Source organism: Homo sapiens, chromosome 16 (assembly GCF_000001405.40).
Source record: "Homo sapiens chromosome 16, GRCh38.p14 Primary Assembly".
Lineage (NCBI taxonomy): Eukaryota > Metazoa > Chordata > Mammalia > Primates > Hominidae > Homo > Homo sapiens.
The window spans coordinates 35,238,098-35,260,796 of NC_000016.10; the positions used below are offsets into that span (position 1 = coordinate 35,238,098).

At 40.4% G+C, this 22,699-nt stretch overlaps 2 long non-coding RNA genes and 3 pseudogenes across 3 annotated transcripts in view; 3 read left to right on the plus strand and 2 right to left on the minus strand.

Moving 5' to 3' along the window:
- The window catches only part of LOC105371200 (uncharacterized), a 36,762-nt gene extending 30,149 nt beyond the window's left edge, over positions 1-6,613 (plus strand). Inside the window, exons 2-5 of one of the 2 annotated variants that reach the window (NR_188628.1) lie at positions 63-281; positions 3,712-3,829; positions 5,343-5,380; positions 6,173-6,613. This is a non-coding gene — a long non-coding RNA (uncharacterized LOC105371200). The remainder of the gene's footprint in view (positions 1-62; positions 282-3,711; positions 3,830-5,342; positions 5,381-6,172) is intronic. The other variant, NR_188627.1, reaches the window with a different exon arrangement.
- Positions 6,614-7,595: 982 nt separating this feature from the next.
- FRG2JP (FSHD region gene 2 family member J, pseudogene) lies at positions 7,596-9,459 on the minus strand (annotated as a pseudogene).
- A 5,324-nt stretch (positions 9,460-14,783) lies between these two features.
- Positions 14,784-16,190, plus strand: LOC124903769 (uncharacterized). The gene is made up of 2 exons (XR_007065192.1): positions 14,784-15,038; positions 15,141-16,190. It is a non-coding gene; the product is annotated as an uncharacterized LOC124903769 (long non-coding RNA).
- Positions 17,095-17,536, minus strand: RARRES2P6 (retinoic acid receptor responder 2 pseudogene 6; annotated as a pseudogene).
- On the plus strand, positions 20,532-21,684 carry AGGF1P8 (angiogenic factor with G-patch and FHA domains 1 pseudogene 8; annotated as a pseudogene).
- Positions 21,685-22,699: the final 1,015 nt, after the last annotated feature.

Genomic DNA, 22,699 nt, shown 5'->3' on the forward strand with positions numbered 1-22,699 from the left:
CTTTTTGTGCCCCCTTTTTGGTCTGTGGTTTCTCAAACTCACCGTATTCACTCACATTTCAGGACCCTTGCTCCACAGAATTCTTTGCCTGGAATTTTCTTCCCAGAATCTTTGCATGTCATTCCCTCTGTTGCTGAGTTACCGGGATCTCAATGTAAACGTTACGTACTGACAGAGGCTGCTGTGAACTGAATTGCGTGCTTCCCAAAATTCATATGTTGATACTGTCACCCCCGGTACCTAAGGATGTGACTACATTTGGAGATAGCATCATCAAAGAGGTAATTATATTAAAATGAGGTATTTGGGGGTAGAGATGAGGGAGTGGGGAGATGGTCAAATTATACAAAATTTCAGCTAGACAGGAGGAATAAGGACATCAGATCTATTGCATTTGGTGACTACAGTTAATGTAATCTGTTCTTGAACATTGCTAACACTGTAGATTTTGAGTGCTCTCACAACAGAAAAATGATGGGTATGTGCAGTAACACATATGCCAATTAGCTTGGGTCAACCATTCCACAATGTATGCATATTTAAAAACAGTTCCACAAATGTAGACAATTTTTATTAGTTACTAGTTACAATAAAAAATGTTTTAAAATGATGACATTAGGGTGGGCCCTGATCCAATCTAACTGATGTCTCCATACAAGAGGAGATAAGGATACAAATGTGCACACACAGAGAAATGACCACGTGAGGACACAAGGAGAAGGTGGCCACTTACAACCCTAGGAGAGAAGCCTTGGGGGCAACACACCCTGCCCACACCTTGACCCTGGACTTCATCCCCCAGATAAAGTCCTTCATCCTCCAGATAAAGTCCTTCATCCTCCTTCATCATATGGAACCTTCTGACCCTGAATACTCTCCAAATGCTGTAATGTACCAAGGTGAAGGGACAGCACAGACCTCAGGGTGAAAAGTTTAAAGAAAGTAACATTTTCCCATTGCCCTGTCCCATCCCCAACACACACCTGTGCCAGCCTTTATTGGTCTTTTGTATTCCCCTGTCCTGGATATAGGGTAACTTATTAATCTGTGTTTATGTATAGGATAACATAAAACAAAGATAAACAATAAAATAAAAATAAACAGCAAAACTCAACTAATAGTGTTTGGGCAGGGTGACAGTGAAGGCAGGAAGATCACATAACAATGGAGGTGGAGTTCTTGGAGCTCAGTCCACATCCTGTTGTGTTTCTACATCAGAATCTATAGTAGCAGTATTCAGGTTTTGTGGTTTTGTCCTTGCCTGCCCCATAAGTGCCAGAGGGGATTATTCTAATCAGGGTGAGGAACTGGTAACTTGCACTTTGCAAGTGAGACAATCTTCCTTGCCATTTGCCACAGTGGCATGGCAGAATTTATCATGAGTGTCTCTATCCTCTAATGTGCAAAAAGTTCAACTCTGTAGGTGAGGTTCTGTTGGCTGCCAATTTGGAAGCATCTGCCTTCATGCTCTTGTCTAGGATGGTAACATCTCTCTGCCAATAGCTGATACAATTCTCAAAATCCCGTAGTCCTGTTTTCCAGTTAAGGTTCACTGGAACTATGCGGGCAGATTTACATAGCTCAGTTCTTCCAGCAGCCAAAAAATACTTGATATTGTTTTCCTCTGAAGCCTCTGAGAGAGGGAGTCAGCCTCCACCTAGAGGTGGCCCTTAGAATTTTTGACACATAGTCTCCCTGACACTACTACTTAACGCTGATTTGAAAGTCAGTGACAAGCTTGCTCCCAAGCTCCTGTCAAATTGAATCCTGACAGATCAAGGGCTTGGGGTTTCCCAGCTTGATATTCCAATATTGAACTGAGTAAATTTGAGTTCTATAAGACATCAGAAGGCTACTTAGAATACAACACATTCTAAGAGAAAATTGGGCTGCCACAGGAACATTAGCTGTAAAAAAAAATATATGTTCTTTGGTGAAAATTTTATGCTCCTTGATATGGATTGGCTGTGTCCCCACCCAAATCTCATATTGAATTTTAGCTCCTGTAATTCCCAAGTGTGGTGGGAGCGACCCTGTGAGAAATAATTGAATCATGGGGGCAGTTTCCCCATACTGTTCTCAAGGTAATGAATAAGTCTCAAGAGATCTGGTTGTTTTATAAGGAGAAACCCCTTTTGCTTTACTTTACTTTACTTTCATTCTCTCTCCTTTTGTCTGCCACCATGTGAGATATGCCTTTCACCTTCTGCCATAATTGTGAGACCTCCCCAGCCATGTGGAACTGTGAGTCTATTAAACGTCTTTTTTTGTAAATTGCCCAGTCTTGGATATGTCTTTATCAGCAGTGTGAAAACGAACGAATACGCCCCCTCCACTGTTTGAAGCAAAACTGCTGGCTCTATGGGGTCTTCAATTCACTAAATATTTCCTAAATGCCTGGCCCTAATCCCCTGACAAGTCAAGAAAGCTGCCACCTTTTGGTGCTCGCTGGGCTGCTATGGATGTCTAAATTTAGTGCCAACCACACAGAACCTGAAGCAGGGGTGGTTGTTCCACTTAATGGTAAGAGCTCAGGTTTGTGGGTCATTGCCCATGTTCTAACTGTTTGGTCTTTCACATTGAAACTAAAGGCTATTTGAGTAAGGACATCCTTTTTTGGCTTCAAATCAGAAAGAATTTCAGCTGCTGATCTGTCAGGTCATTCATTTAGGAGTCCACTGTAAGGGTCTGTTCGCTGAAAATACTAACCACAGTTAAGCCAAAAACCAAGCCTGAATCCATGTGTAATGCAGAGGTCATCACTGCATGCCAGGCTTGTGTTTCTTGTTGCAAGTTGACCTATTTGTCTCATGGTTCAGAAGGCCCCAGACCATTCCCAGCATGATAATGGCACTGGCCTTTGGCCTACCTCCTGAGGTATCAATCATGTCTCATCACTATTGACATCTTTAGCATAATAGTCAGCTGACTCCAGCCACACCATATGTCCCTTGAAGCTCATTCGTGTAACCTTTAGGCTTTTGAGACTACTTGCATTTTAATCACATTATAGCTTTTATCACTAAATCTATTAACGTGGCCAAACTATTTGATTTTACTTTCTTTTTTTCTCTTGTTCCACAAATGTTGGCTAATTTGTTGATTGAATGTGACTGTCCCCTCAGAACCCCGAAATCTCTTCTTGACTGACTCCAAGATGAAGAGAACATAATTGAAGTCTATAGGCATCCATTTTCAAAATTTGAGATTTCTCACTGACCATTACTGGACGAGATGTGCCTTTCTTTTCCTCAACTGCACACCAGGAAAATCTTGTTGCTAGATTCTCTGAATGGCAGTCCAGCCCATAGAGGGGTTGTGGTACCCAACTTACTTATGGTGAACTTTTATATAGAAGTTCTTGTGTCCATATCATCTGGCTCTACTAGAAAAAAAAAATGACTACAAGACAGCATGGGTGACTAGACCTACTTAAAATTATAGGTACTGGAATAGGGCACACAAATTCTGTGAATGTAGATGGAGGACAAAAACCCAAAACCTAAAAATGAACAAATTAGACCCCAGCAACTACAGAAATGGAGGGACATTAATAACTTTTTGTCTTTCTGAACTATCCCTAGTGAGACCCAGGGAAGAGTTGGGGAATCCTGTTGGGGCAGAAGGAGGAAGAGTATTAGTTAGACCAAATGGTAGAACAGGACCTGTGGGTTCAGCCTCTCTTAGGAATTCCATCCCTCTGTGATATAGGCATGGAATCCCAGGGAGCATCCTGCACTCTCAGTGTCCAGCTGTCTGAGGCCACACTTGTTTCTGATGATAGAGAACAATTGCTTTTTTCTGAGAGACTTAGCACTCCATGGCTGAGGTAAGCTGCATTCTATAGAGCATTGATTCCATTTTCTCATTACTCTGTGGTTCCTTCTTTAATTTTTAATCTAGAGATGAAATTATATTTGCCAATATTTGTGTAAAATAGAAATATAAGTCTGGCAAGTAGACCATTAGATGCAGCCCTCAGCAGAAATTCTTGCCTGTTTCTCTTCTCACTTTTATTCAACTATTGGCACAGAGAGATGCCCTGATATGTGGTCTCTCAGGAGTAATTAGAACATTGTACTTCTAGAAAAGCTGATGGGACAGGGCAGGGCTCAGAGTGAGGATCAAAGCTTCTGTCCAAATCTCTCAGTCTCTATCTGTATGTGGTAGCTGGACTCAGGAAAGACCCTAGAGCTCTGGAAGGGATCATTAAGAGAAAACAAAATCCCTGTAAATTAGAGTGCCAGGGAACATGTTCATCAGTCACCTTCAGGGTCAGATGCTCAGGGCTGAGCCTGTGTGGGAGGGCGCAGAGCAGTGCATGCCTGGGAAAACCTCTGATTATGTATGAGTGATGAGGCTCTGCCTCAAGGAGAAGTCCTGTATCTGACAGAACATGCTGTTTCTGTGCGTGTGAGATTCAGTGCCCTTCCTCAGCAGAGCACCACTGAGTGAATAATTGTTTTAGGATCCAGCATATGGAGGCCAATTTTATTTTGAATTTCTCATAGACAGAAACAGAAAGGATAATTTTCCACTTTGAAATTGAGTAAGAGTGTCATAAACATCAGTAAAAAAGTCACAGGAGAAAAATCTGGGGTCTTATTTATCCCCAGAAACCACAAAAATCCTGATACAACCTGTAAGAATTCACCTTGTAAAAACTTGTTTTTTTTTTTCAGTATAGATTTATCTTTCATTTGACCTTCATTTTATTGCAGGTTATAATTACTACATGATTTTTTACCTTTATGATAGAAACATCAGATTCCTAAACCCAAATCATTAATGATGGCTCCCCAGCTGTAGTTTTTATTGCCAATTTACGTTTTGCTATGATCTGAATTTGTGTCTCCTTCTAAAAACTCATTTGTAAAAGTTTAATCCCTAATGTGATAGTTTTAAAACATGGAGCTTTTTGGGATGTGACTAACTCAGGAGGGCTTCATCCTCGTTAATGTAATTAATACCCTGTAATAAAGGTTGAAGCGAGCACCCTTGTCCCTTCTGCCATGTGCAGACACAGCAAGAAGGCATCATTTATGAGAAATGGGACCCTCACCAGACACTGAATTTGCTGGTGCTTTGATCTTGAACTTTCCAGCTTCCAGAACTGTGACCAATACATTTCTGTTATTTATACATGACCCAGTCTAATGTACTTTGTTTTAGCAGCCTGAACAAAGACACTTTCTCATGTACTGTGGTTTATTTTTGAATTTATACTTCCACTGAGCTATCCATATATTCATTAATCAACTTGTCTCATAGAGTGTAATAGCCACTCTAATTATTTTTTTCAAAGTGTTCTCAGCTGTTCTTATTTGTGTTTTCATCTATAGGAGTTCTGCAATAAAATGCCTGCTTTCTCCACCAGATGGTATGTCTATTGGGACAAAATTAAATTTTTGAACTACTTGTAACAAATTGATGATTGAGTAATATTGAGTTTTTCTATCTTAGAACATGATGTGGTTTTCCACTTTTTTATGCTGATTTTCTCATATTTCAAAAACTTTTTATGATCTTTCTCATACTTTTTACAAATTTTTGTTAGATTTATGTATGGCTAGTTTATTTTACTTTGTACTGTTAAAAAGTAAACTGTAGCACAATACAAATTTTAAAAGTTTTATTGGCTGGGAATGATGGCTTATATCTGTGATTCCAGCACTTTGAGAGGCCAAGGTGAGAGATTACTTGAGCCCAGGAGTTTGAGGCCAGCCTGGGAAACATAGTAAGACCCTATCTCTATGAAAAAATAAGAAGAAATTAGCTGGGTGTAGAGGTCCATTCCTGTACTTGTAGCTACTCATGGGGTAAGGTGGGAGGATGGCTTGAGCTCAGGATGTAAGGCTTCAGAGAGCTCCGATTCTGTCTATGCATTCCAGCATGGGCGACAGAGCAGGAATCTGTTTCAAAAAACATTTTCTTGAGTAGGAAGCAACTAATGAATTGTGGAACATGAGACCAAAAAAGGTTTAGCATTTAAATGACAAAGTGTCAGAGGTAAGATTGTATTGAAAATATGCAGAAGGAAAATATTAAAGTTATTTGATTAGTTGCAGTTAAAAAACTGTCTTTTTTGGTTTACCTTATAGACATATATTACTATACCTTCTTGGGTACTTCTGATAAACTTAAGTTCTGTTATTGTTGATTTTTAATACAGGTATTCACAAAAATAGCTCACATTATGTTTTGCTTGTTTGCAAGTCAACAAGATGAGGTCACCGAAAAGGTCTAACTGATTCTGTCTGCTCAGGAATGTTTCAGGCTTGGTCTCCCTTTTAATTTACCTCGTAAATCATTTTGTAATTTTTATCTCCTACCCATTCTGTAACTTGTTAATTACTTTTATACACATGTAATATCTTTTATGTGTGATTTCTAAGTATATTACTAGTGAACATTGACTGTTACAAGGCATACCTTGTCTTATTGCAATTTATTGTGCTTCCCAAGTGTTGGATTTCTTACAAATTGAGGGGTTTTGGCAACCTTACCTTCAGTGACTCTGTCAACAATATTTTTTCCAACACCATGTGATCTGTGTGTGTGTGTGTATCTTTGTCAGCATTTTTATCAATAAAGTACATTTTTTATTAAGGTATATACATTGTTATTGTAAACCTAGTCTGTTTCAGTCTTATTCTACAGTACAGTGTAAATATCTCTTTTATATGCACTGAGAAACAAGAAAAGCTGTGTGACTCACATTATTGTGATATTTGTCTTATTGCACTGCTCTAGAGCAAAACTAGATATCTCCAAGGTATATTTGTATATTTTCATTGAATTGGCTCCATTTACTGGAATGATAAATCACTATTCTTCGACTAAAACAAGAGCTGTGGAGTGTGGAGAGGTCAGGATGAAAATAAAGAAGAAGTGAATATAAAAAGGCCCATAACTCACACATAGAGTAAATACAAGTTCAGTATGGATGAAATACAAAATTATCTAAAATTGAATATTCTCAAAAACATTAATGTTTGTATCATTATGTGTATGAAAATTATCAGGCAAAGAACAAAAGTACATTTAGATGATGAAAGATTTCATCTCACTGTAAAATTCAAGAAGAAAAATATAAATATAGCAATATGTGAAATAAATGACAATATATTACATTTAATGTCCTACAATACAGTACGATCAACTGAAATGTATAAAATAGAAGAAAGTTTAAATTTAGAAAATTTACAATGAAGCAAATGTGAGTTGGGTGAAGAATAAATAAGTATAATCAATTACATTTAACATATCTTGACTTCAATTTATGTAAAAAATATTAATAGTAAACACCTTGTGTAGTGATTTCACCATAATTTTATTAAACTATAAAAATATATTGACATTTTTTCATAGGGAGTACTATTAAAGGTTTGTGGATATTAGTCCTCCATGGATTCAGCGTGGGAGAGTGAGAGGTTACAACCTTTTCTAAATTAAAAGAGAAGAATATAATTTTATATTTATTTTTCTACAATTTAAAATATGCAAAGGCATATGAATGATTACATTCCAATATTTGTTTGATAATACAGAAATGCAAGACTTTTTCAGACATCCAAAAGACATCAAACGTCTAACAAGAAATATAAAATTTGTTTAGAATCTTAGCCCTCTACAAAATGCAGGTTTCACCATTTTGAGTATGTTGTTCAAGTCCCTTTCCTATGACTGCTTCAGGTTTTGTCATGTATTAACATAGTGCATCTAAAATTGTCATTGTTGCTTATCTGGAAGAATCTGAGAAGTAGCAGGTTATTATTCTCATTCCAAGAGCTGCATTCTCTGCTGAATAGGGTGTGGGTGCAGCCAGCTCAAGCCTCATCTGATCCACTGAGAGGCTCAGTTATCTCCTGCCCAGGCAAGGGGTGGGCTTCTCTATCCATGGCTGGATCCCCAGGGCCAGGAGTGTGGCTGAGGCAAGCCATTTCTTAGCAGGAAAGACATAACCTGCCTGGGTGGCCATAATATAGAATGTCTGCACTTGAGCGCACAGAGGTCCCAAGAGCCAAGCAAGCCGAGTGAGCTGCTCCCAGGTCAGTGGAGAATGGACCTGCTGCACCAACACCTGGAGTAGGTCTTGATAAATGGCCTTTGACCTACCTTGCAAAGTCACGAAGCTTTCTGAAGTGACGGCTATTGAACTCCTGGAGCCTGAGGCCTGTGCCGCTTGTTGCACCCAGTGTGAGCCATGAAAGGCCTTCTGTGGTGGGCCTCACAGGTCTCCTGGATTTCACTGCTGTGCACAGGGGTGGAGGACTTTAGTTTCCTTTTCAACATCAAGCTGCGCTCCTCTCCTGGACAGGTCCCTGCAGAGGAAGCATGTGAGCGAGAGACTCTCCAGAAAAGTGCCCACAGACCCTCATTTCCACAACCTCCCTTGCACCTTCAGGTGAACTTCATTTGTCTCTTCTCCATCCTGACCATCTCAGCACTTTAATGAAGTGAAGCTTAACCTCTTTTGAGTCCCCACATATTCTCTAAGTGCCAGGATCTCAAGAAATTTCCCAGTCTCTAAGAAGCCTCCTTGCTGTTCCAGCCCTGTATAAAAGTCTCCTATTTGTTTGCCCTTTGGGGCAAAAAAAAAAAAAAAAATTCTACTTGCTCTGTCTTGGCAGCCGTCCTTGGAACTGATTTTCCTTTTCTTGGAGTTTCCCTCATGTGAGCTCGACTCCGGTTCTGTTGATCTGTTGATAAAACGAGAGTTTGAGTTAGTGCCTCCAACCAAACACCCTAAGACTTAGTTCATCCTGAACACACAGGAGCTGAAGTTGCCACCAAACCAAGCTCTGCTCTGTTCTCCAAAGTCCAGGATCTCTAAGGCCCTGGCTGCCAAAGAGCTCCCAGTTTCCTTGCCAGGGGAAACGGTGTTGCTGCCATCTCTTTTTACCTTCAAAGAGTCTAATTTTACCAGATCTAGCTGTGCTGTTTCTGTCTTTGAGCTTAGTTTATTCAGAATTCTTCTCCTCATTTGGCTTTGATCCTAGCACAACATGGAGTTTAGGTGACTCAACTCTTCCAGGCACAGAGTCCCATAATCTGTCTCTGACAAGTATTTGTGGATCAGTCTTTCAAGTGAAGTTCTTCTGCCACTGTCATGAGTGAATACATTTCTCAAAGTGTCCTCGGGAATGTAAGCCATTTCCCATTTCCAATTTCAAAATAAAACCCCACCAAAGACCATACTTCAGTATCCCTGATTCCAAACCTCCTTCCAGCCTCCATAGGAACAGCCCAAGGCCATACCCTGCCTTTGCATGTGCTCCTCACTGGAATGGGAGGAAGGGGTCTTGCCTTTTTCTTTGAATAATCTCTTCACCTGAGCCCTTTTCTGTAAAGGAGATCTGTTGGAAAGAAGGCTGGTCAGTGGGGCACTGGATGGAGGAGCAGTGGGGAATCAGGGTCTTCATTTCCTTTTCCCGTGTTCAAGCTCAAGTGAAACATGCTCTGTCTTACACGTCCAGATTCAGACTATGTGTTATCCTGCTGGCCTGCCTTTTATATGCCCGTCAGCTGGCCATGTCTTACTGTTATTGGCTGAATAGTTTTCTTTTTCCTGCTACTCATTAGGGCCTCAATTAGAAAAGTTTCATGCCATATAGTTTTACTAGGGACCTAAACAAAGTTAAGGGGAGACATTTTCTGGGTCTTATCATAGTGTCCAAAAAAAAAAACCCTAAAAAACAAAACAAAACAAAAAAACAAAGCCGGGGCACAGGAATCAGAAGATAAGGGAATCATTTATTCTAATTTCTGTCCCAATTCCTACCTGGTAGTAATTAAGTTACTGCTTATTTTTCAAGATGCAGAATTAAACATACTTATATTGAAATGTGTCATATATTTTGCAAAGAAAGAAAATTTTACATAATGTTAAAATCATGTACATGGATATTATAATTTCTCAAATGCTTGGAAATGTCAAATTAAAATTATGGTTGATTGTATTAGATACAAACATATATTATAAAATAAAAATATAGAGAAAAGTAAATACCAAATAAAATGGCCCTTTCTACCTTAACGATAGGGATGATAGTTAGATCAAATACAATGGAATTGAATTGATTAGATTAGAGCTGATGCTAACTTAATCAGCCCCTGATTCCTGAGGTAGCAAAAAGTCTAGGTGGAGAGAGAAACTTCCCTATTTGTCACCCTTCCTCAGTCATCCTAGGAGCTCCACTTTTTTCTGTAGTATTTATTCAACCTCCCTAGTAAAAATGGACTTGGTCCCAAACAGGTAACCCAACTGACCACAAGAAAAACAGCCTAGATCCTGAGCATTCAGCTCCTATACTCACACAACAGACACCACCTGAGTCCCACCAAAGCCTGTGTGGTTTCCTAACATCCACCATCGAGATATTCCAGAGCAGCCTCTAAAAATTGCTTACACGAGATGGGACAAGGTATGGTGGAGCTCCAGGATCAGGACAGCTGCCTCATCCCTTCCTACTGTGAAGTCTGTATCTGCTGGTTAGAGCTCTCAAACCATAGAAGGTTTAGTGTATGTCCCAGCAAGTGTCACCTAAAAGGACCTTCTTGTTTTTCCCTCTTCTGAGAAAAGGATGCTGAAATGAGACCTTTTATGTCAGAGACTACTCGGCCTCCACTCTAAAATGACTTGGTTGATGGAAGAACTGATTCCCTGAGGAGGGGAAAGATTCAGGGAAGAGCCTGTCCTGGGTGAGTCTGTGTTTCCCCAGCTGTGCCGTCTATGCAAATAGTGCAACCCAAAAAAATATCAGATGGTAGACATATGGACACTGCCTAACAAAACTGTCTGAATTTAAATAAGATTTAAATGGAACTTATAATAGCATTATACATTGATACCATAATATCATATAAAATTTATTTGACATATAAACAAATTTTGATATATTATTTTATCATAATATCATAAAGCAGTTATTTACACAAGAGCAGATAATGTTCTTAAGTTCCATTAAATTTATATGTTAATGTTGTTACAAAATTTAACTCAATTGTCTTATAAAATTACCTAACACAGTTTTATATGTTATTATGATAAGACATACAAATTATGTCCTAATATAGTCTTATGTCATAATACATACAAATTATGATGTTACAATCTATTGTGATATCATAATATATGAATTTTGATGTCATAATATATTGTGACATCATAATATGTACTAATTATGTCATAATATATCGTTATAATATATAGATTATGATATATTGTGATGTCATGACACAAATGATATACTATATTGTGATTATATAACATCATATTTATGATATGATAACAAAGTTTTGTCAGGTAATTTTATGAAAATATTGAGTTAAATTTTGTAACAACTAACATATAAAGAAGCTTACAATCATGGTGAAAGATGAAAGAGGAGCAGGCATCTCATGTGGTAAGAGTGGGAGAAAGAAAGATGGGGGAGAGATACATCTCACTTTGAACCACCAGCTCTCGTGGGTAATTACCATGACAAGGACAGCAGAGAGCTATGAGAAATCCATCCCTGTAATTCAACCACCTTCCATCAGGCCCCACCTGTAACATTAGGGATTAAAATTCAATATGAGATTTGGAACAAACATCTAAACTATATCATATGACCATTAGAAAAACAGATGAAACATTCATGGTTTCTACTGTCCAGATACTTTCATTCCAGAGCAAATGGCTAAATGATTGAATTCAACATTCTGTAGTCAGAAGAGAGAAGGGAGGTGTAGAGGGGACTTTGGCTGCATTTGTTCCACTTCCCTCAGGCTGTTGTTGTGAGTTCTAATGTTACCACCAGAAAGGCTATTCATGGACAGAAGAATTATTGCTATTGTTGTGATTATTCCTGTTTCTTTTACCTTAGTAAAAATAATTTTTTTAGCTTCTCATATAATTTTCCTAAAAAAACCCTAAGAGTTTGGTTAAATTCCTTGTAATTGTGTGTTATAAAAACTAACAGGGAAATGGCTAAAATAGATTAAAATCACACAAACTCAAGGAGTCAAGTTTCCATTGGGCAGACTTAGGAAAGACAGAACTGGAAATACTCCACCATCATAGACGTCAGACGCATGAGGCCCACTTTCTGTCGCAGCTCTGCCCAGATCCATCCTCTCCTAAGACCTCATCCAGGTTTGCCCTCACCCTAGAATCCTCTCTCACAGAATTAATTAAAGGAGACCAGAAATTTGAGTGGTGGCTCCTGCTGCCTCTCCTGAGCTGGTGCCCACAATTTCCTGAAAATAAAAAGCAGATAAATGGGAGCCAGAAGATGGAGAGGGTGGGGTTGCCAGGAGCCAGGCAGTGAAAGTTGGTTTGGGTGGCCACCATCGCTGGAAGTTTCCTGTCCATCCACTGGGGCCAAGTCCAGTAAGGTGCCTCTGCTGGTGGAAGTGCACATGAAGGCCATAGCTCCTGAGGTGAGGAGCAGAGACCCATCTGACCAGACCCCCAATTCAAGGTCGCCCTGCCCACCCCCAGCCTCAGTTTTCCCTTCTGTGTAGGTAGAGTGTTGGCCTTTCAAGGACCTCTTCCTGCACTCCATGAGGCTCCCAGGAGCTACAACACAATGTCCCTGCCCAGTCATGCTCAGAGTTGGGCCAAGTGTCCCATCCCATTCCCTCTGCTTCCCCCAGTGGCTACTCCTGCTGAGAAGTTGGGGTGCTTCATCCTGGACTGAAAGCCTCGGGGAAGAAGAGAGTTTCCAGAGGAGCCCCCACCCACCCAGAGAGGCACAATGGGAGCTCCCACGAAGACGGAGGCCCAGCAGGTAGCCCAGCTAAGTGAACAAGCCAGGACAGGCATTGGGAGCACTTTACCAGGAGGGCAAACCCAGCCCCTTGCAGAGCTGGGAGCCTCAGAAGCAGCTGAGAAGCCTTGGCCCACAAGTCTCTGAGTCCCTAAGCCACCTCCTGCACAGCTCCAGGGCCCAGCAGGCACCAGTAAGCATGGCCTCCTGGAGGCCTCAACTCTTTTTTGTCCTAGTGTGCAGGCTTTCACCATTCCTCCCCCGAAAGCTCAACTAGTTTTTCTTCTTTCTGGGGGCTGGAGTAGGGCTGCCTTTTTGCCTGGACTCATGGGTAGGCTAGATTGCCATACCCCCAGGAGACAGGCACCAGGAGCCCAGGAAAGAGGAAGGAGGAGGCCCTTCCCCACAGTGACCTGCTCGCCATTCACGTGCAGCGACAGGCCCACCTCTCAGAGGAGGATGCTGAGGCACAGGCAGGAGCAGTGTAGAGAGACACTGGGAAGAGGCACCAATCACAGCTCTGAGCTGTCCTCTGGACCTCCAGGGGTGGGGGAAGGAGACCCGTTGGTGATGAAGACAGCTCAGCGGGTTGTGGCAGAGGCTCTTCCCAGGACTGGGAGACGACAGTGACTCAATGCTGTTCACTTCTAGACTGTGCCTTCTGAAAGTGGCCCTTCAGTTACCCTCACAGTTACCCCACACCTGTCTGGGATGGCCAGGTAGGCAGAGCAAGCAGAGACTCAGGGCGAGGGCACTAGGGCGTGTGGGCAGGGACAGAGGCCAACGGGGCAGGTGAGGGGAAATTTTCATCTACTTGCTGGATCTGCCCCTTTCCTGGGCTCTACTTTACTCTTTACCCTCTGCCTCTGGCTCCCTGCCTGGCTCCTCCTCACGTTCTTGCCTCCTCACTCCAGAAGTCCCAGGGGCTCAGCCCACCACCATTTGTCCCCAGGTTGTAGCTGCCCCTTCCATGTCCATCCCATGAGGACCTTCATCTGCATGAGCACACCTCTGGTCTCCTCTGAAATCAGAAGCCCTATCTCCCTGACAGACCCTTCCGCAGCTGGGCAAAGTCCACCTGCCACTGTTCCAGGCCAGAATGCCTGGGCATTATCCCCGTGCCTGCTCTCTCACACCCACTGCCCATCCACCAAAACTGCTGTTGGCACCCCTTTTACTGCCCCCACAGCCACCCTCCCCTCCTGCTGTGCTATAGCTTTTGTCTCCTTGTGCCTTAACCCCTCTGTCCATCTGCCCCACGGCAGTCACCTGAGCCCCCGATCACTGGTGTGCTCACATCTGCAGTAACAATCTCACCCAGAGCCAACATCTAAGTCCCCACAGGCCTGTCCTGACCTCTTTACTGCTCCTGGAACCCCAGGGCCCTGTGCCCCAATCACTCCCTCTGCAACCTGGGTGCCTGCTCCCACCCCCAGCCTGCCCCCCAGAGCCCAGGGCATCCAGAGCAATCTAATACACATGTAATACATATGAATTACATAATAATTTGTAATACATCATATTATGTGCAAATTATGTAACATGAATTCATCATAATACATATAAATTATGATGTCATGATATATTGTGATGTCATAACACATATGAATTGTTAAGTCATAATTATAGTGATGTCACAACACATACGAATTACGATGTCATAATATGGTGTGATGTCATAATATCTACTCATGATGACATCATAATATATTGTGATGTCTTAATACAAGCACATCATGGCATCATGATATATTGTGATGTCACAGTGGATGCATATTATAACATCGTAATATACAATGATGTCACAATACATAGTGTTTATGATGTCATAATATATTGTGATGTTATATGAATTATGTGATGTTACATGAATTATACTGTAATATATTGTGATGTCATATCATCTTTATATTTATCATATTTATCATAATATATTTTGATGTTATAAATACATATGAATTATGATGTCATAATTTGATGTCATAGTATTTATCATATTTATGATATAATAATATAAAATTTTCTCAGGTAATGAGAAGAACATTGAAAAGAGCATCACATCAGAATATCGAGGTGGGCCTGGAAGTTGGTGGGAGTGTGGCCTGGATGTGGAAGGCGGGACCTGTCTTTGGCTCACCTGCCTTCCCACAGCTCACCTGGAGCTGTGGCACCAGCATTAGAGCCCGGTCATGGAGTGTGGTGCCCTCAGACTGCTGTCACACCACCTCTGTGATGGAGAACAAGTTCAGCAGCCTTCAGTAGACATACAAGCTGGACAGCCAGGTGAGGGCTGTGACCCATGGGCAGGGGCAGCAAGGTGGGCAACCTCTAAGCTCCCATTTATTCTCTCAATGTGCTCTCCTGACCATCCCATTCTACCTGTAGGGCTTCTGGCCAACCAGACGCAGCAAGATGGAATTCCACTGCAAAGTGTACAGCAACTTAGTATGTGGAGATGAACAGCAGCAAGGTGTTTTTAATGGCATGCCCTATGCCACCATGCTCAGGGGAGATGCTGCTGCTTGCCAGAAGCATGGGGATGGCAGGCCTGAGGCTCCACTTCACTGAACTCTACCATCATTATAGAAGTTTTGGAGTAGCCTACGAAAGACAGAATCATGTCATTGGTCAGAAGACAAAATCCTGTACAGTGAGTAGTTCTCACTGTAGATATGTAGATTTATTACCCTAAAAACAATGCTAATTTGGCATTGGTTCATGTAGCACCTGCTATGAACAAATGCCTAAAATTAGAAGCAGTTTCTCCTAAAGTAAGATTACATGAGGCCAGGCGTGGTGGTTCACGCCTGTAATCCCAGCACTTCAGGAGGCCAAGGCGGGCGGATCACGAGGTCAGGAGATTGAGACCATCCTGGCTAACAGAGTGAAACCCCGTCTCTACTAAAAATACCAAAAATTAGCCGGGGGTGGTGGCTGGCACCTGTAGTCCCATCTACTCGGGAGGCTGAGGCAGGAGAATGGCGTGAACCTGGAAGGCTTGTTGACCAATGACGGTCAACAAGCATGTAAAAAATGTTCAACATTGCCAATGATCAGAGAAATGCTAATTAAAAATCACAATGAAATTTTGTACAATTTTTTACAATCACATTTTACACTTTCATAATGGCTAATTATTACAAAGCAGAAAAAGGATAGATATTGGCAAGCATACAGAGATTTTTCAGAAAACTAAATAGAATTTCCATTTGATCCAGCACTCCCACTATTGGGTATCTACTTAAAGGAAAATAATTCATTATGTAAAGAAGATACCCACACTCATATGTTTATTGAAGCACTATTGACAGTAGCAAAGATAGCATATCTTCAATTTAAATTTATCAATCAATTGAAATTTATCAATGACTGACTATACATTTATACCATGGAATACTACTCAGTCAGAAAGAATAAAATCATCTTTTGCAGCCACATGAATGGAACTGGAGGCCATTATTGTAAGTGAAATAACTCAGAAACAGAAAATCAAATACTGAAGTTTCCCACTTATAAGTGGTAGCTCAATAATACATACACTTGGATATAGAGACTGGAAGAATACACACTGGAGACTCAGAAAGATGGGAGGTTGGTAGAGGGTTTAGGAATGAGAAAATACCTAATTGGGACAATGAGTACCATTCAGATGATTGTTACACAAAAGCCCATACTTCATCACTGTACAACATGTTCCTGTAATGAAACTGCATTTGTACTAACATACTAATAAAGAGAAAAAGACCCTGACTTTCATCAAGAGGGCAGACTGCATAGACCACATAATTTTCATAAATATTTAGATTATGCAGAAAAATAATTTTAATAAAAATAAATACAAAATGATATTGTATTTTAAGAATGGTGTAAAAAGAAAATTTGTTGAATTAGAGTAGTTAGTACTTAGCAGATACAATATGTTAGGCAAGATTGTAAGCCATTAGACATTTGTAGACAGAATATTTAACAGTGTAAAATAAGTAACACAAAGATTCATTGGCAATGACAAATTGACATATTTTAATCATATTAGATGATATTAAAACCATTACAAAGTTTACTATTTTGTGTCATAATAAAGGATCATAACGTTAAATAACTTCTTTCAAAAGTTTGACTAATTAGGCATGTAGATAAATGGCAGCATGTTGACCAGTATATAGAGGATACACACCATTTTCAAAGACCGAACAAAAATTTAATTCATTTTTATTTATTTTTGGTAGGAGAAGCAGCTGTATTAGCTGGGGATATAGTGGGGTTCTCTCCCTGGGAGGTGGGGTCTTCCACTGGTCACCCGCGACAGTGGTCCAGGAGGCGCCATGCAGTGCTGGGCTCAGCTGGGGGCCGGGCCTTGGAGAAGACGAACTGTACAGGGAAGCAGTAGCTGTGGGGTCCTCACCTCCCACTCCCCCCAGCTGTACTGGGTCCCTGGTGCTCCTTAGGCTCCCGCCAAGCCGCCGTCTCTATAGGATACTTACTATCAGTGCCGGAACCTTCTCCTCAGAACCCAGTTTGACTCAGGCCAGGCATTTCCGCTTCCTCCCCTTGGGCTGGACTTTGCGCTCGGGTTTCTTCCAATCCTTCTTCCTGCCGCTTTTCTGCCCCAGCTTAAATTCCAGGCTCACGAATGTTCCAGCTGGGAAGGGCGTGTCCACCGTGCCTTCCATACTGTTCTCCCGGAAGGCCACTGCATGAGCGGGTGGCTACCTCCAGGGCTACTTGGAGACCATTGCGCTGGGCCCCCTGAGCTCGGCCCCGCCCACGCCCTCCGCTCCCACCCGCGGGGTCAGCGGGATCCGCAGCCATCGCTTGCTTATGCCACCACCCCGGCCCTGTGAAACGGGTGTGCGCCTCTCAGCTCTCCGAGCCCGCCGGGAGCCGCATTCTCCCCTGCTCTGCCCCTGGGGGTGCCTGCCATGCCCGCAAAACTCTGGGCAGAGGTGAAGGAACCGGGAAATGTCCCTTTCTCCCAATTGACCTTAGGATCCTCCTGGTCCTCTCCACTCCCTCCCACCCTGCCCGCACTGTTCACTGGGGCTTGCAGTTTTAGCAAATTTCCCTGCCCACTGCCCTGGCGGGGAAGCAGTCCTGTTGCTCACTCCCACCCTTCATCTCTTTTCTGGCGCGTTCTCTGTCCCCACTGGGTCTGACACGACCCCTCTCCTTGCTGCTGTTCCTGACCCCCTCTCTGCCTCCCCTGCTTAGCCTCTTCCTTGAGCGCTTCTCCCTCCCCGTCCTGAATCTCCTGGCTCCCTCGGGGCGCCGCCCATCCCAGAGGGCAGGCAAAACCCACACAATTATTTTTAGTGGAACATTTGAATTCCACTGAATTCATGACGGCAGAAACCCATCTGGTCAGATTTAAAGAATTATGAAATGATAATAGCAACTATCAATTTAAAATGTATCCAGGGTTAAGAATGCCCACCATTTTACCGACAACAACAACAACAACAACAACAACAAAACCCTGTTATAGATAACAAACTAATTCAGTAGAGTTGCAGGATACAATATTAACATGAAAATCAGTTGTATTTTGATACAGTAACAACAAAATATCTGAAAAAAGGAATAAAAATAATTCCATTTACAACATCAAATAGAAAGAAATATGTAATTTATTACATAGAATGAGTTTAACAAAGAATATTAAAGATCTGCATACTGAAAACTAAAATGTTGATGAAACAAATTGAAGAATACAAAATGAGAAATATATACTGTGTTCATGGATTCGAAAAATTAATATTGTTAAAATACCTGTACTACACAAACTCTTCTGCAGAGTTAAATAACTTCCTATCAAAATTTTAATGCCATTAAAATAAATGTAGAACAAACAATTGTAAAATTTATATGGAGCCACACAATACCCTAAATAGCCAAACACTGATAGGAACAAAAAGGCTGAAAGCCTCAAACTTCCTGATTTCAAACTATGTTACAGAGCTATAGTCATCAAAGTACTATGGTATCTACATAAAAACCAATGGAACAGAATAGAGGACCCAGAAATAAAGTCATACATATTCAGTCGAGTGATCTCACATAATTAGGAAAAGATAGACACATCAAGAAATGGTGTGGGAAAAACTAGATATGCATACACAAAAAGTGAACCTTTCTCTTATACCACCACAAAAATGAGTTTAAAATAAAGACTTAAACATAAGAACTGAAATCATGAATCCTCTATAAAAAAATAGGAAAAGTGCTCCTTAACACTAGTCGTGGCAATGATGTTTTGGATTCAACACAAAGAAGACAAGCAACAAAAGCAAAAATTAAAATGTGGAACTATATCAAAGGAAAAAGTTTCTGCACAATAAAGGAAACAATCAACAAAATATAAAGGCAATATATGGGATGGGAGAAAATATTTGTAAACCATATGTAGGATAATATGTTGCTATCCAAAATATATTTAATACTACTCAATATGAAGAAAAAAAAAACCTTCACAGGAGAACGAAACACAAGCCAATTCCCTGATTAATTGGGGAAAATATCTAAATAGCCATTTTTTCCAAAGACATACAAATGGCCAGCAGGTATATAAAAAGATTCTCAACATTACTAATTATAAGAGTAATTACAATGAAAATCATAGTAAGATATAACCTTATCATGGTTTTAGGATAGCTATTATCAAAAAGTTACAAGATAAAATGTGTTAGGGTGCAAAGAAAATAGGATACTTGTAGACAGTTGCTGAGCATGTCCATTGGTGCAGCCATTATAAAAAAACAGTATGGAGATTCCTTAACATTTTTAAACTTGATCTACCCTTAATCCCAATTCAGAATATATAGCCAAAGGACATAAAATCAGTATCGCCAAGGGTATCTGCACTCCTCTGATACAAACAAATGGATAAACTGTGAGAGAGAGATAATTTCAGCTTTAATAATGAAATTCTTTCACTTATGACAATATTGATGAATCTTGAAGACATTATGCTAAGTGAAATATGCCAAATACAGAAAGACAAATACTGCATGATCTCGCATGTGGAATCTAAAAAAAAAAAAAAAAAAGAAACAATAGAATGGTAGTTACCACAGGCTAGAAAGTGGGGAAAAGTGGGGAGATACCATTGAAAGCAGCATACCTTCAGTTATATAATGAAAAACTGCTGGGGACCTAATGTGCAGAATGGTGACTATATTTAATAACAACGTGTAGTTGAAATTTGTTACAAAATTAGATCTAAAGTGCTTTCATCACACACAAAGAAATGTATAAAGTATGTGAGGGGATAGATTAACCAGCTTCACTGAGATAATTTAAAGATGTATACACACCTCAAAGCACTCTATTATATATACCCTAAATATATACACTTTTCAATGTGTAAATCATAGCTCAATAAATGTGAAAAAAATTAAGAGTAATCAGCAGGTCATATCTAGCCACATGTAAACTTTATTGAAAACTCTCTTGGCCGCCATTTCTGGCTCAACCCAGGAACGGCCCAAGAGCTTCTGGCCCCTTGACTTCTGCAACACTCCTCCTGCTGTTCCTCCAGCTGGGGAAGATGTCATAGTTCCCAGGAGTTTTCTGGTTTCCAGGCCCTGCAGCTCGGGCAGGGCCATCAGCATTCCCCTTGCTCATTGCTCACAACCCTGTATGGCTCCAGGTAACGCGTGTCAGGGCCTCCTTGTGAGGGCCACAGCAGCCAGCCATGGCCAGGCTGGCTTTTGTCGCTGGCATTCCCGTGGCCTCTGGCTCCGCAGACGTCCTTTAGGGCCCCAGCACAGCCCCTACTCACATTACCAGTGAAGACAATGTAATGCAGAAGACACTGAGGAGGAAAATAAGACAAAACATTGGCCCCCATGTATTAGGGTAATTGCCATTAGATCACCTGTGTTGTATACGGGGTCACTGTTTATTATTACTGCTGTAAAACCGGCTACAATTGGAAGAGAAAATGATCTAGAGCATACTCTTTCTTTGAATCCCTGAAGTTGGTGTCTGTAAGTTTCAGGCAGAAATTTGACCATGACTAGCAAACTTATGTCCTTGTAGATCAGGACGGTCAAAATGGAACAATTGTTAGTGAAAAACGGATTGTTCAAGTGAAAGCTAAATGTGACCCTTACATACTTGAGCATACATAGACATGAAATGAAAATTGGAGAGACTGTGTTACCCTTTCGCATTCACCCTGGCAGTGATACCTGTGATGGCTGTGACCCACAGCAGGTCAGAGCTCACTTTCACCTTGATAAGAAAGGTGAATGTTTGTTGGTCCAACACTAAGAAGAAAAAGATTTGGAAATAAGAAAATAATTTTAAAAATGTGAGTAAAATATGGTTTACAGAATACAGACTATGAAGATGAATAGACACTAAAGCTTCCAAAATATAAAAATAGAGCTGGAAAATGTAGTGAGAAGATTGGAAGTGAAGGAACTTTCCAAAAAGATGATGCTTCTGCATCTATTCATTCTGAAATTACTGACAGCAACAAAGGTCAGAAGACGTTGAAGAAGATGGGTTGGAAAAAAGGAGATGGACTGAGGAAGATGATGGGGGAATGAAAACTCCAATTTAGTGTCAAGTTCACCAACACACATAGGCTCGGAGACAGGAAATCCATCCTCAATTGAAGATGTTCACCTTCTCCGAAACAAAACAAACAAACAACAACAACAACAAAAAACTGGGACAAAGCATGAGAAAGGTTTGCTGAAAAGTTCCCAGAAACTAAACCTTGAAAAGATGACCCAGGAACCATGCCTTGAGTAAAAGGGACTGTAGAGTGAAGTTTAATGATAGAAAAAATCTCAAGCTTTTTAAAAAATACAATTTGGAAACACTTATTTTATTTTATTTTTTGTGGAACATTTCTCCCCAAAAAAGTCTGTGGCACAAGGGAACTCTGTCACAGTTTACCTCTTCCTGATTTTGAAATGTGTAATAAAGTTTAGTTTGCAGCTTTTTAAAACCAGCTGTTAAACTAATAAATAATGACTGAATCAAGTTATACAGTAAGTGGACTAAAATTTACAGGGCACAGATAAGTTTATCAAACTTCATTATTTTATCTTGTCATTTACAACTTCAATATAAGCAAAAAGTCATATATGCAAAACACATATAACAACTAATAACTTAAATGTACATTTGTCTTTGTCTCCTTATAGTCACGGTAAGGCGTACAGCAAAAAAAAAGTAGTTTATAAAAATAAATCTGACTATATGCATCTTCGTTTATGCCCTTTAGAACCTAGATAAAAGAACTTCTTGTACTTGAAACAGCCTAAATAATATTATTGAAGAACTAATGAACAGGTGACATATTGTAGAAAATTAGTCTGTTATTGTTGTCTTCTGTGAAGAATCTGTTTATTTGTGCTATATATTCAGCATTTATATTTGGCTTGTTTCATAGCTAATGAGATATTTAGATATGAACAACTGAGTACAGTGTTGAAATAGTGTGCTGGCATTTGTAGTTTTCATAAATATTATTGCAGGCAGTGGAGTTGTGCCAGAGAAATCTGATTTCTAGTACAAAAGAAATACTTAGCCAAGGCCTTAAGTTTAGGATATTTATTGAAAATGTCCTCAATTGCAATAAAAACATTATAACATTAAAAAATCCTCTTTTGAACAATTCTAAATTAAACAAAAAATTCAAATGATGCCTTTTATGGAGGTAGGGAAGTGCTAATGAGGTAGAATGGTAATCGAAGCCAAAAGATCTTAATTCAGGTAAATAATTTTGCTCATATTAGTTTTATGTTAAATGAAACAATAATTGTAACCATATACTATTTACTGCAGTGCAGTATTTCAGAAATTCGTGCATAATACATAATTAATTTTCTAATGGTAAAAAAGGAATCACATTCTGTGAATTATTAAGGGAGGAGACAACCCCTCATATTGTCTTATGCCCAATTTCTGCCCCCAAAGAAAGAAGAAGT